Below are 14,793 nucleotides of genomic sequence, written 5' to 3'. Positions count from 1 at the left end.
TCCTGCAGTCACCAGTGCATGCAGAGGTCCAGCCACGGCCACCTCTTTCTTTTCTGTCCTTTAAATGGAGAGGGTCAGCACGTAGCAAATGAACCAACTTTGCTTTGACTGCAGCTGTGAAGATAATGAGGCAGCCTTGGTTGTCATCTAAACTCAGCAATGGTCGAGAGCTATTTGGGATTTCCTGGCCTGCTTCCAAATTGCAAGCCCTGTTGGGCTACTAATGCCCCACCTTGTCCCAGCCTCTCTTTGGCCATAGGCTAGGCCAGCCCCAGGGTGGACAGGGAGGCTCCCCAGGGTCGGACGAAGGCAGGCGCCTGTGAGCAGAGGCCTGGGGGCTGGATGGGTGGCAGGTGGCCAGGCCACTCTTCCTAGCCCAGCTGATGCCATCCCGTTATCTTGTAATTTTCTTCCCGGGGCCTTATCAGCCTTATTAGCAAATGTCAGAAACAATGAGAGTCACTTAAACCTGATCATGCCCACTGCACCCCCCACCAGCCTGGCACCAGTTTGAACCAAGCCTGCTTCTGAAAATGTGGTGGAGAAAGCCCTGCTGCTCCTGGGAGGGGCTCAGGCCATTTGATTCTGCCTGGTGGGTTCAGGGCTGCCTGGCTAGCCACCAAGACACGGGAGAGCAAAGCCCGGCCAAACCCAGGGGCAGTGGTGTCCAGCAGGCATCAGGACATGCCGTGGCCCACACATGCCCTTCTCCACAGGTGCCATCATCTCCTTTCTTCTCCTGTTAGTGATGGCTTCATTGGCCTCAGGTGACACCGCCTTCTAGCCCAGGCCACTGGATCCAGCCAGAGCGTCTGTGCATCGCCCCAGGGAGGTGTGGGGAGGCTCGGCCCCACCTGGCAAGTTTATAGGCTGCTTGAGGACATAAGATGGGTACAGAAGAGGCTTCAGGGCTCAGCAGATGCTGTGCTGGGAGTGAGCCCAGGCAAGGTGGCCCAGGGACAGAAGATGGAAGGTCAGTCGTGGCCTCCTTCCAGAAGGAAAGAGATTTTAGCAGGAAGAGACAGGCAAGGAAAGGAATTGGTTTTTCAGGCAGAGCGGTACTTTTTTAAATTGACAAATTTTAAGCATACAGAAAAGTAGAGAGGACGAACCTCCAAACATCAGCCCTTAGATTCCAGTACATCCTGCCTTGGTAGCTGACGTCACGAACGCTGTGACCTGTCCCTCTGCACTCCATCATAGCATCTCTAAAACGGAGGACATTTCCTACCTCAGCACAACTTCATTATCACAAAAGAGAACATTTTGAGCAAAAGTTTGGAAGCAGGCAAAAGTAGGGTTTGTTCTGGAATGGCATGAATGAATGAGTCATGGGCTGGACCCGGCCCCGCAGAAAGAGCAGAGGAGGCCGTCTCTGGTGTAGGAGTTGAAGCCAAGACTCAGCATGCAGGACAAGGAGCCCAGCCTGGTGGCATGGGCTGTGGCTTCTCCAGTGGGCCCATAGGAATGGCCCTGGGGCTGGGACTTGTGGGGACGGCGGCCACAAGAGGAGGATCTTCAGCATGGCCTGACAGCACCTGTAATGTAGGCAGGCAATGGGCTCCTCCAGGTGGCAGGAACACTGTGAGGAGCATGCAACGTGCTGGAGACCATGGGGCATGTGACCTCCGGGCACACCCTGGACAGACCTGGGTGAGAGGTGGGCTGGGACGCCAGGACGGTGAGGGGCTTCAAGGTGTGTTTGTCCTTTGTCCTTATACAGGTGACCTGCATGGGCGGGTGAGGTCCATCAGAATGCTCTAGAACAGGACAACTGAGGTCCCGGCTGCCCCGCTCAACACGCCATGATTCCTAGACTGCCCTGAGAGGTCAGGTTTTAAATAGGGTGTGGCCCGGCAAGGACCCTGAGGGATGTGAGGCCAGACAGCTCCTTGGTGGCCGCCTGCACGGGAAGCTGAGTGGCCCTTTGGAACAGGAAGTGCCTTGTCCAAGTTAACCCGGGCCCGGGCCCACCTTGGACTCCCTCTGGAGAGAACGGCTGGCCTGTTCGCCTCCTTTCTCCTTCCTTCCAAAATAACATGTCCAGGTCCCTTGGTAAGAATGCTGCAGCTGGGGTCAGTCTCCAAACTGGAGTTTGGTGGCTAAAATGCCCGCCTTTCTGCCCCCAATTTCACACATGGATGATGGTCCTGGTTCAGCAGGGAAGATTCTCTTGGACCCGTGTCTGCTGGTTGGGAAGTGGAGAAAGCCGCCCTGTTCTGCCTCCATTTTGAAACGTCTTTTCTGTTCGGAGGACTAAAGGAAGCCAGAGCTGGTTCAGATGTTCATGAGCACCTGTGCCAGCCCCTGCCCGTCACACTTGAGGACACCAAGGCTGTGGTCTGTGCAGTGAATCGGGGCAGTGGGGGGACTTCATGGTTAGAAACACAAGCTGGAGGCCGGATGCGGTGGCTCCTGCCTGTAATCCCTGCACTTTGGGATGCCTGAGGTCAGGAGTTCAAGACCAGCCTGGCCAACATGGTGAAACCCTGTCTCTACTACAAATACGAAAATTAGCTGGGCGTGGTGGTGGGCACCTGTAATCCCAGCTACTCGGGAGGCTGAGGCAGGAGAATCGCTTGAACCCGGGAGGTGGAGGTTGCAGTGAGCCGAGATCACACCATTGCACTCCAGCCTGGGCGACAAGAGCAAAACTCCGTCTAAAAAAAAAAAAAAGAAAAGAAAAAGAAACACAAGCTGGGCTTCCTGCTTCCCAGCTGTGTGGCTTTGGGCCAGTTACTCACTGTCTGGGTGCCTCCATGTTCTTGTTTCCTTATATAAAATAAAGTTCTTTCCTCGTGGATTGTCAGGAGGATTCTGTAATAATCCACAGGATGTGTTCTGCATGCACTAGGTGCTCAACTTTCCTGACCCCCGTCCAGTGCCCCCCTCACCGACCACGTCTGCCCTCTAAGCTGCCAGTCCTATAGGAGGCATTAAGACGTCTAGCAAGGCTGTGTTCTCAGATGCCTCGAAATGGGACCTCAGCCTTGGAGTTCTCTCCTCCCACATGGAGGCAAGTCACTGACAGTCATCTAGCAAATTGTATGCATGGTCAAGCTCAGAGGTTCTATTTTGGGTCAAAAAAGGCATGAGCTGGCTGGGCGCCGTGGCTCACGCCCGTAATCCCAACACTCTGGGAGGCTGAGGCAAGCAGGTCACCTGAGGTCAGCAGTTCAAGACCAGCCTGGCCAACATGGTGAAACCCTGTCCCTGCTGAAAATACAAAAATTAGCTGGATGTGGTGGTGCATGCCTATAATCCCAGCTACTCAGGAGGCTGAGGCAGGAGAATCACTTGAACCTGGGAGGCGAAGTTTGCAGTGAGCCGAGATCGTGCCCCTGCCCTCCACCTGGGGTAACAAGAGCAAAACTCCATCTTAAAAAAAAAAAGCACAAGCTGGATTTTGCCCTTTGTCGTGAGAGCATTTCATGCCTTCATGAAAGTCACTGCAGCTGTGCTTCAGGCAGAGGGCCCGGGATCCAGGTGGCGTGCGCTGCCTTCCGTGGCCCCTTCAAAGGGCAGCCACCTTCCCAGTGCCGCAGGAGCTCCTGGTCTGGGGCCACATGCTTGGAAGGGCCACTGAATGTGGTGAAGGGCTGGGTCCTGGTACTGAGCCTGTTGAGACTTCTGCAGGATTCACTGCCGTATGCCTGAGGAAGGCAGACGAAGGAAAGGACAGTGTGGAGTGCTCAGCAGAGTCCCCATGGTCGCACTTGGGAAGAACGCCCTGGCAGTGGACGGTCAGTGGTCACATGCACATGCGAGGCCCTCAGGACTCTGTAGGACACGACGTGGCTTCTCCACAGTCCTGGGGATCGGAAGCAGATGCAGAATGTGGCCGAGTGGCCCGGGCCAGGGCCTGAGAGTCTGCATTCTGACATGCTTCCCCGGTGGTGCTGCTGGTCTGGGAACCACACTGGGTTTAAGTAACTGATTTAAGTAACTGATGCGAGGAGGCCATGCTCTGGGGGAAGGCAGCTGGAGAGGAGAAGAATGATGTCCCCATGCCCCTTCCAGCCTCAGAGTCCTCTAGACCCGGCAGTGTGCAGGAACGGCAGCTTCACTGCCCATCCCCTGGGGTACTCCCTGCAGCCTTGGGCCCTGCTCCTGCAACGGTGGCCGAACGGTGCAAAGGAGGGGGCGGCCCAGTCCCTGCAGGCTGCCCTCAACCTGGGTTTGCTCATCTGTGAGATGGGATCACATGTATAATCCTGGCTACTTCACAGAGCCCAGGCGAGGATCTCATGGACTTGTGCATGTGGAAAAGCCCTGAAACTGAAAGATTCTAGAAACACCAGGATTGTGGTCACTGTCATTACTGGAGGGCATAACCCATTCCCCTGTTTTTCCTCCATGAAAGACAATCCCACCAAAACACGAAGGCCCTGCCCTCAATCTGTTTGTGTCCTTGGCATGGTTCAGCCTGCTCTCCCCATGGCCTGAGAGGAAAGCGTTAGCCAGGAGGGTAGTTGGAGGTGGCGGGAGGTAATCCCAGGAGCCCGTGGTGAGCTGAGGATATGGAGAAGGCTCATCTGGGGTGACCTGAGCAAGCACCCTCTATCCCAAGCCAGTCCCCAGAGGCCACGTAGGCCCCTGTTTCTGGATTAACTGAGCGGGAGCTCAATCAGGCAAACCAGGTTGCTTGGCACGGTGTTTGCCTTAAAGAAGAACAAGGTGGGCCAGGCGTAGTGGCTCACGCCTGTAATCCCAGCTCTTTGGGAGGCTGAGGCGGGTAGATCACCTGAGGTCAGGAGTTTGAGACCAGCCTGGCCAACATGGTGAAATCCCGTCTCTACTAAAAATACAAAAATTAGCTGGGTGTGGTGGTGAGCACCTGTAATCCCAGCTACTTGGGAGGCTGAGGCAGGAGAATTGCTTGAACCTGGTAGGTGGAGGTTTCAGTGAGCAGAGATCATGCTGCTGCACTCCAGCCTGAGCAACAGAGCAAGACTGCATCTCAAAAAAAGAAAAAGAAAAAAGAAAAAAGAGGAAGGTGGGCTGTGCCCTTCTGGCTCAGGCACTGATATTCAGGGGCCAGTACCAGGCAGATGAGCCCTGGGTGTTGGGCTCACATGTCTGTGGCCTGTCGTTTTAGCCTTGGGGCCAGGGGTAGCAGCCGTTTCTCTCTGGGCAAGGGGCTCATGAGGAAACGTTTCTGCCTTGGCAGCCCAGGCCACAGCTGTGCTGGCTGCAGACACCCTGGGCAGGCCCCGGTCGCTGAGGAGCCTTCTTGGGCAGGTTGCTTCATCTCTGAAGCTCAGAATCCTTTCCTGGAGCACAGATATCAAAATATTTATCCCCAGAAGCCTCAACAAACCTGTGCTCACCGCTGCTTTAGGCCCTGCAGCAGTCCCAGGTCTGGGCAGATGTTTCAAGTTCAGTGTGTGGGCTCTGGCTCGCTGGAGCTGGGCCCAGGGAACTGGCGCCTTGGGATGAGGCCCGCCATGTCCGAGCCTGCCCATGCCCCGCTGCTGCTGCGGCCGGTGGTCTTGGGGCTGCCTGCCAGCCTTCTCTCCTGGGAGCTAAGTGGGGACAGGTGCTGCGGGCCACGGTCCACGATGCTCCCTGCTTCCTGTTTGGTGGGCAGCCTGGGTTTTAGGAATGTGTAGAGCTGGAGGAGCTGAAAGAGCTGGGGCTCGGGATCAGGTGGTTCAGCTGACTCGGGAAACTTTGAGGCACCACCGCACCTGTCCGTGCGTGAGGGAGACATCTTCCTTGCAGGGCTCTGGGAGGATGGGGTGCTTCTGTAATGCCCAGTCTTGGGCCTGGCGCCTACCTCATATGGGTGCTCTATATAGCAGCAGGCGGAGCACAATTCTGCTAACGTCAGCAACAATCCTGTCTGTTGGAATAAACATGCAGATGCATCTGTGACCCCAGAATCCCAGTGGTGGCTCTGTCCCCGTCTCAGCCGAGCACTCAGCGGCCAGGGTGGCTGGACTCAGCACGGGGCTGGCACTGAAACTGGCAGTCACTGCTGTCAGTGCCCACAGAAAGCAAGAAGAGAATAGACAAATACCAGGCAGTGGAGACACTCCCTGCCCACTGCAGATTTATAATCAGCGAACATTTACTGAGTACCTGTTGTATGCCTTGAGGTGCTCACAGGGGAGCACTCGGGAGCCCATTCACTCGCCAGTGATGAGTGGGCACTGTGCCAGGTGCTGTCCAAGGTGGGGGAGCGAGGGGGTCACTGCAGGAGAGGGTGAGAAGGAGGCTGCATGCTGCACGACCCTCTGAACCCTGAGCCTGCCTGGAGAAGTGGGCTGTGCTGCGGGGACCCTGTTGGAGAGGGGCAGCATGGGGAGGGGCGGAGCCTGCCTGGGGCCTCTCATCCTGCAGCTGCCTGGAAGTTGGGCTCCTTCTGACAGTGTCCTCAAGTAGACGCGGGTTCTGGGGGTCTGGCTGGTGGAGGCCAGCTGGTGCTCCTGACTCACTGGCTCCTCTCCTTGCACAGTGGCTGCTGCCACCTGCCTAGGGAGTCTTCCTGGGGCTCAGTTCCCCTGACCCCCTGGGACATAATGCCAGAACTCATGCTGGCTGGCCACCCTCCCTCACGTGTGCTGTGCTCAGCCCGAAGTTGGTGCTTTCACCTGTGTGCTCTGGGCAAAGCAGGCGCAGAGGAGGCACTGGGATAGAGCGCAGAGTCCACCTGGGGCAGCCCCCTCCTCGTCCCGGCCATTGCCCCATGTTGGGGGTCTTCTGTCGGGGGAGGGAGGGTTGGAGCTGGGATTGGAAGGCCCCTCTGAGGCTCTTCTTCCTTCCTCCATGAGCCCTCCAGGCCCCACCCTCCATCCTGCGCCCCTGCCCCATCCCCACCCACGGCCAGGGCTGGCTGCTGCCCATTTTGGCCCCTTCCCTTGGGGCGTTGCTTCCAGGTTCAACTCAGATTCTGTCTTTTCCAGAAGATGTCTCTGTCCTTCCATGCCCCCAGCCTTTGTTCCTTGTCCTCCCCTGTCCCTGCACTCCTGGGGTGGGCCCTCCTGCTCCCGAGCCTCCTGCGTGGAGGCTGTGAGCTCCCTGCCACCTGCGTGGTCAGTCTTTCCTGCACCAGCCTCCCAGGACCCCTCCTGCCCACGCTCCTGAGAGATTCAGGCGCCAGTGCATGGGTGGGGCACAGGGGCTGCGGCAGACAGAGGGTGGTGATACAGGGGTGGAGTCCCACAGGCCGGATGCCTTGATACTTCTCAGCTGCAGGGCTGTGCCCGGGGCTCTGTGCCCCTGAATGAGGGCAATGGTTCCCCTGCACAGTGACCTTGTGAGCTGATTCAGGCCCCATGATCGTGATTAGCTGACAGCACATTGGCCCTCAGAGAAATGAAAATACACAGTTACACAGTAGCAAAATCCCACGAGCAGTCCCTCAGCTGGGGCAGGGACACACGGACTGTGGCACGTCCACACCAAAGAATCCTGCGTAGCCACAAAAAGGAACAAGCTGGGGATACATGTGACACCCTGGGCGCATCGCAGAGGCATCATACCAAGTGCAGGATGCCACAGCCTGCGCGATTCCATTTCTGTGACACTTGAGGAGGGAAACGGGATGGAACACAGGACAGGAGTGTCTGGGGTGGGACAGGGAAGGGCCCAGCTCTGGGTTGGAGCCTGGAGCTGGCTGGAAGTGCTGTGTCCTGATGTGGTGGTGGTATGCATTTGTCAAGACTCATAGACCTGGTTGGGGCACAGTGGCTTACAGCTGTAACCCCAGCATTTTGGGAGGCCAAGGCAGGAGGATTGCTTAAGACCAACAGTTGGAGACCAGCCTGGGCAACATAGCGAGACCCCATCTTTACTAAAATCAAACAACAACAACAAAACTCACAGACCTGTGCATTAAAAAGGGTACATTTTACTTTATGTGTTACCTTCATAAATCTGACCTAAAAATGATTTTTAAAGTCCCCCCTTCTAAAATATACTAATCTTTAAGAAACAAAAACAAAACAAAAAGCTGGCTGACAGTGGGTCCTACTACTAGCACATGGGCGTTGATGATGGTGATAATGTCTCTCGCCCATAAAAGGCCAGCTTGGAAACCTGAGCCCCAGCTGCTTATCGGCCTGTGTAGCCAGACAACCATTCTGCCACTCGCCAAATATTTTCAAATTTCCTTTCCGAGGCAGGCTGAAGTCCAGGTAAATATTGACCCAAGAAGGCGGATCACGCTTTGTGCTATATTTGGTTAATAGTTGGAGTCACTCCTAAGCTACTTTTTCAGTTGCTTTGTACAGGTGGGTTTGTTTTATGTAAAAAGAAAAGACACTTTAAAAAGCTGCGCATAAATCAGACATCATAAATGCAGTAGAAAGCCTCCCTATTTAAATGACTCAGCGAATCTTCTGATGAAACAACTGCCTCTTCCCCTTTAATGTATTTATTAATTTTTTTTTTCTTTTTTTGGAGACAGAGTCTTGTTCTGCCACCCAGGCTGGAATGCAATGGTGTAATCCAAGCTCACTGCAGCCTCAAATTCCTGGGCTCAAGTGATCCTCCTGCCTCAGCCTCTCAAGTAGCTGGGACTACAGGCATGTGCCACCATGCCCAGAGAATTTTTCAATTGTTTGTAGAGATAGGGTCTCAATTTGTTGCCCAGCCTGAGGCAAATTTTTAGATATATATTTTATTTAAGTGAGAGCTGTGACAGCAATGGCACAATACTGCCTCTGTCCTGGCCTGAGGCTCTCTTTGCCGCTGGTGGCCATCGTCTTTGGAGAAGCCGCTCAGCGTGTATTGATGGAGTGACCTCCCTGCCTCCCTGTCCAGTTGGGCTCAGGTACCCAGCTCTTTAGCACCCTCCCTCTACCATCGTGGGGCCTGCAGGTCACTGAGGGCTGGGAGGGCTGGGACCCAGGCCCCTGACTGGCCCCCTGTTGCAGCGTTGGAGAGACCACCTCAGACAGCAAGGACGGGCATGCCATGGGTCCCGGCAGCAGCTGTCCCTTCCTGAGGAGGGCGTTTGCCAGCTGACCACTCCCTGGTGATTTCTGCCCTGATCTTCCCTGGAGGTGGCAGGTTGGACGTGAGGATGAGGTCCCACCCAAGTCACAACTGTGTGACTGTCTTCCAAGTCAACAAACATCCTCCTGGAAGGCTGAGTGGCGGGAAGGAAAGACACCTGCCTTCTACGCCATGCTGGGCCCTGCAGCAGGCACTGTCCATGTCTCAAATCTCCCTCCCCGGGAAATCTAGGCACAGGTCATACTGCTGGAAGGCTTGTCTGTCTCTCCCAGTCTCAGGGCCAGAGCTTCCAGGAGCAAAGAGTGGTCCGGGCCTTTCCTTCTCTTTCTCCCACTCTATCTTATCTCTCCTCCTGCTTTCTCCCAGAAGACAAGTATCAGGGATGGAAGAGGTGGCCACGTGCAGAGCATGACTAATCAGCAGCTGAGTGGCACACACACAGGGGATCTCGCCTGAGGCCTGGGCCAGCATGGGGAAGGCCCCTGCAGGCTGCTGGGCACGGGGATGGCTCAGGGTCCTGGGCTGGGCTGGGCTAGGCTTGGGGGAGCCCGGTGTGTTGGGCTGGAGCTGGCCTCTGCTGTCGCTGGACCACAGTCACCCATGGAGGGCAGGGGTTGGGAACCTGCAGGGACAGCATCTGCCCTCTGGCCGGTGGGGGGTTCTTAGTAGCAGGGCAAGGGGAAGGCAAAGGGGGCCAGGCCCAGGAGCAGGTGGGTCCTCCTCACAGGAGCAGGGCAGGATTCGAGGAGCTCTGGGCTCCCACCTCCGAGCTGGACTCTGAGCATGCTGGCTCCCTCCTTCTTTCCAGGGCAGCAGCAGCCCCACATTCAGGACAGAGCCATCTGTGTAAGCAGGGCTCAGAGACCCTCAGACAGACAGGGAAAAGGAGCAAAATGTATTGTCATCGTCCAGCCTGAAATCTCCAGTGGGACCCGTCAGTGGAGCACGTAGCAGACACCCTGTCCCTCCCGTGCCCCCCGGCCTGTAAGGGCAGCTGAGGCCGTCTTACCTGCTGAGGGAGACCCCGCACTCCCTGACTTCCCGGGCTGGGTGCTGGCACTGGTGAAGGGTTTCGGGCTGTGAGCCTCTTGCCTTCCACTCAGACTGGGCCAGACCCGACAGCACCATGAACCAGAGCCGCCCTGAGTAGGGGCTGACACTGCCAGGCCAGCCTCATCCTGCTCCCGGCCATACCAGGTCCCACGGGGCCAATGGACCATTTCAGTGGATGCAGGGAGCACAGAGCATGAGTCGCACCTGGTGGACGGGCAGGTGTAGCAGGCCCTCATGAGAGGAACACCATTGACTTTCCCACTGGGTGAGGAAGGGACAGCTCTGTACCATTTCCCTCTGCTCAAACCCACAGGAGCCAGCCAGGGCATGGACACTCCCATGAGGTCACCTTTGCTGGTCTGTTCCTTGCGGGGCTGCTGAGTTCTTGATAGAGGTAACAAGCAACCCTGGGGCTCCCGTGTGCAGGAGGAAGGTTGGGGACTGCCTGGTTGTGCTTCGGACCCGGAGGCAGACAGAGGAGGCCTTTGAACTTGGCCTGAGCTTGTTGGGTGAAGCCAAGGACAGAGGCTGGGGTCTGAGTGAGGGGAGATGGTCCCGTGAAGTCAGATTGGCACAGATTCCCCCATCAGAGTTGGGAGGCCCCAGAATGTTCAGGAACAGCATGTGGCAGGGGTCATAACTGAAGCCAGACCTGAGTTACAATCCATTTACTCACTGTGTGTCCTTGGCAAGTCCTGCAAGGGAGGCACACTATCGGACGTCCCCCGTGGGGCTGGCATGCAGATTGAATAGGATACATGGCTGCACTCACCCCAGCGCCTGGTGTGCAGCAGGCCCTGTGCCAGTGTCGGCTGACGTCACTGTGCTGTGGGTGTCATCAGAGCCTGCATGCCACAGTCAGTGCAGTGGCACAGGGCCTGCATGCCACAGTTAAGGAGATTGTAGGCCCTTGGGGAGACAGTGGCAGAATAAGGGAGTCGTTGCCAGACACTGGACCAAGGCCCTCACAGAACCCAAGGGAGGGCAGGGGCATCCCCTGCTCACCGATGGGGACTGTCACCCTTAGGGAAGTTGGGGACCTGCCTGAGCTCACACAGCTGGGAAACAGTGAAGCCTGGATTTGCCTTCTAACTTTTTATTTTCAAAAATATGCAACATACACTAAACTAGAACCGTTTAATGACCCCTGCACCACCGTACCCAATGCCCAGCTTCAAGAATTCTCTCACAATATGTCATTCTTGTTTCATCTGTCTTCTGCCCCCTCTCCGCCTCTTCCCCTTCACTCCTGTCTGCTTCCTTTCACTAGAGTGTTTTAAAGCAAATCCAGACATCAAATTTCATCAGTAAATATCTCACATGCATATGAAATGCAGAATGTATCTCTAACAAGTAAGGACTTTTTTTTTTTTTTTCTTGAGACGGAGTCTCAGTCTGTCGCCCAGGCTGGAGTGCAGTGGCGCGATCTCAGCTCACTGTAACCTCGTCTCCTGGGTTCAAGCCATTCTCCTGCCTCAGCCTCCTGAGTAGCTAGGATTACAGGCACATGCCACCATGCTTGGCCAATTTTTGTATTTTTAGTAGAGACGGGGTTTCGCCACGTTGGCCAGGATGGTCTTGATCTCCCAACCTCGTGATCCACCCGCCTCGGCCTCCCAAAGTGCTGGAATTACAGATGTGAGCCACTATGCCTGGCCATAAGTAAGGACTTTTAATAATATAATACATTAAACATTCAGCAAAATTAATAATTTCATTTTAAAATAGCCTTACAGGCCAGACGTGGTGGTTCAGCCTGTAATCCCAGCACTTTGAGAAGCCAAGGCTAGTGAATCACCTGAGGTCAGAAGTTTGAGACCAGCCTGGCCAACATGGTGAAACCCCTCTCTACTAAAAATACAAAAATTAACCAGGCATAGGGGCGCACACCTGTAATCGCAGCTACTCTGGAGGCTGAGGCAGGAGAATTGCTTGAATCCGGGAGGCAGAGGTTGTAGTGAGCTGAGACTGTGCCAGCCTGGGTGACAGAGCGAGACTCCATCTCAAAAAATAAAATAAAATAAAATAAAATAAAATAAAATAAAATAGCCTTATAGAGGAATAACCAACTTACAACAAAGTGCACCTATATGAAGCATACAATTTGAGTTGCCTTTTTTAGAGATGGGGTCTTGCTCTGTCGCCCAGGCTGGAGTGCATTCGTGCTGCAGCATTGAACTCCTGGGCTCAAGTGATCCTCCCACCTCAGCTTCCAGAGTAGCTGGGGCTACAGGCATGTGCCACTGCACTGGCTAATGTTTTTATTTTTGTAGAGATGGGGGTCTCACCATCTGGCCCAATCTTGTCTCAAACTCCTGGGTTCAAGCAATCCTCCTGCCTTGGCCTCCCAAAGTCCCAGAGTGTTGGGATTACAGGCAAGAGCCGCTGTGCCCTGCCTACAATTTGAGTTTTGATGTGTTTCTACAGCCAGGAGGCACGTACTCAGGTTAAGACTGTGAACATATCCATTCCCACCTTTGAGATCCCCCCAGCCCCTCTTGCCCTTTCTAACCCAGGCTGCTGCTGATCTGCTTTCTGTCACTGGACATTAGTTTGCATTTTCAGGAATTTTATGAAAATGGAATCATACAGTATACTCTATGTTTGTCTGGCTTCTTTCACTCAGCATAGTTATTTTGTGGGTGATGGATGCTCTTGCATGGACTGGTAGTTCCTTTTTAGTGCTGAGTAGTATTCCATTGTATCCATTCACCGTAGTTTGTTTACTTATTCACTGGTTGATGGACATTTGGATTGTCTCCAGGTTTTGACTATTACAAGTAAAGCTACTGTAAACATCCATGTTCAAGTCTGCCTGGATAGCTGCTTTCATCTTTCTTAAGTAAATACTAGGAGTGGAATGGCTGGGTCATGTGGTGGTAGGTGTGTGCATAACACTTCAAGAGACTGCCAAACTGGGCTGGATGCAGTGGCTCATGTCTGTAATCCCTTGCGAGGCCGAGGTGAGTGGATCACCTGAGGTCAGGAGTTCAAGACCAGCCTAGCCAACATGTTGAAACCCCTATCTCTACTAAAAATACAAAAATTAGCCGGGTGTCGTGGCATGCACCTGTAATCCCAGCTACTTGGGAGGCTGAGGCAGGAGAATTGCTAGAACTTGGGAGACGGAGGTTGCAGTGAGCCGAGATCGCACCACTGCACTCCAGCCTGGGCAACAGAGCAAGACTCTGTCTCAAAAAAAAAAAAAAGAGAGACACTGCCGAACTGCCTTCAGAAGTGATTGTGCCATTTTGCATTCTAGCAAGGAGTGAGCATTCTAATTGCTCTGCTTCTCTCCAACCCTCTTTACTTTTAGCCATTTTGTAAGAATTCTTTATGTATTCTAGATACAATCCTTTATCAGATAAATAATTTACAAATATGTTCACCCATTCTGTGGGTTGTCTTTGTATTTTCATGATAGAATCATTTGAAGTATAAAAGTCTAAATATTTGATAAAGCCAGTTTATTTTTCTTTCATTGCTTGTGCTTTTGGTGTTGCATCTGAGAAACCATTGCTAAATCCAGGGTCATGAAGATTTATACCTATGTTTTCTTCTAAGAGTTTTATAGTTTTAGCTCTTACATTTAGGTCTTTGATCCATTTCGAGTTAGTTTTTGTATATGATGTGAGGCTGAGAGTCCACCTTCATTCTTTTGCATGTGAATATCCTGTTGTCCTTGTGCTATTTGTTGAAAAGGCTATTCTTTCCACATTCATTTGTTTTGGCAGCCTTGTTGGAAATCACTTGCCATGTATGTGGAAGTTTATTTCTGGGCTCTGTATGCTATTCCATTGGTCTATGTCTATCCCTATGTCAGTGCCACACTGTCTTGATTACTGTTGCATTGTGGTAAGTTTGAAATCAGGAAGTGAGTCCTCCAACTTTGGTTTTTTGTTTTTTTGTGTTTTTTTGAGATGGAGCCTCACTCTGTCACCCAGGCTGGAGTGCGATAGCACGATCTCGGCTCACTGCAACCTCTGCCTCCCGAGTTCAAGCGATTCTCCTGCCTCAGCCTTACGAGTAGCTGGGATTACGTATGCCCACCACCACTCCCAGCTAATTTTTGTATTTTCAGTAGAGACAGGTTTCGCCATGTTGGCCAGGCTGGTCTTGAACTCCTGGTCTCAGGTGATATGCCTGCCTTGGCCTCCCAAAGTGCTGGGATTATAGGCATGAGCCACTGAGCCTGGCCTTTTTGTTTTTTGTTTTTTGTCTTTTTTTAAAAAAAGATTGTTTTGGATATTTTGTGACCCTTAAATATCCATATGGATGTTAGAATCAGCTTGTCAGTTTTACAAAGAAGCCAGCTGAGATTCTGATTGTGACTGCATTGAATCTCTAGATCAGTTTGGAGAGTATTGCCATCTTATCCAGTCTGTAATCCATGAACATGGGATGTCTGTCCATTTATTTAGATCTTTTGTTTCTTTGAACAATGTTTCATTTTCAGAGAGTAAGTTTTGTACTTTTGTTATATTTATTCTTAAGTATTTTACTCCTTTAATTGCTATAGTAAATGGAATTGTTTTTTTGATTCCTGCTTTCAGACTTTTTATTGCAAATGTGTAGAAATACAATCGTATCTTGTGGCCTTGCTAAACTCATTTATTAGCTTGAAATTTTTTTAGTGGATTCCTTAGGATTTTTAATGTATGAGATTATGTCATCTGTGGATAGAGTTAGTTTTACATATTTCTTTTCAATCTGAATGCCTTTATTTGATTTTCTTGTCCAATTGCCCTGGCTAAAACCTCTAGTACAAAGTTGAAT

General features: G+C 52.8%; 1 protein-coding gene across 7 annotated transcripts in view, besides 2 other annotated features; it reads left to right on the top strand.

The window, feature by feature from the left end:
- The window catches only part of PEMT (phosphatidylethanolamine N-methyltransferase), an 86,580-nt gene that overhangs the window by 45,182 nt on the left and 26,605 nt on the right, over nucleotides 1–14,793 (top strand). The gene's annotated exons all lie outside the window — the stretch shown is intronic.
- Nucleotides 1,097–1,596: an enhancer, noted in NCBI's record as "H3K4me1 hESC enhancer chr17:17448679-17449178 (GRCh37/hg19 assembly coordinates)". NCBI's record gives its function as "activates a minimal SCP1, AML or CMV promoter by ChIP-STARR-seq in naive H9 embryonic stem cells {active_cell/tissue: H9 hESC(naive)}" and the evidence as "EXISTENCE:reporter gene assay evidence [ECO:0000049][PMID:30033119]".
- Nucleotides 6,088–11,089: an enhancer, noted in NCBI's record as "VISTA enhancer hs1917". NCBI's record gives its function as "enhancer in: other[5/6]" and the evidence as "EXISTENCE:transgenic organism evidence [ECO:0001131][PMID:17130149]".

Source organism: Homo sapiens, chromosome 17 (genome assembly GCF_000001405.40).
Source record: "Homo sapiens chromosome 17, GRCh38.p14 Primary Assembly".
Lineage (NCBI taxonomy): Eukaryota > Metazoa > Chordata > Mammalia > Primates > Hominidae > Homo > Homo sapiens.
The sequence above is the reverse complement of the archived record's forward strand: the minus strand, read 5'-3'. Positions and strand labels throughout refer to the sequence as shown.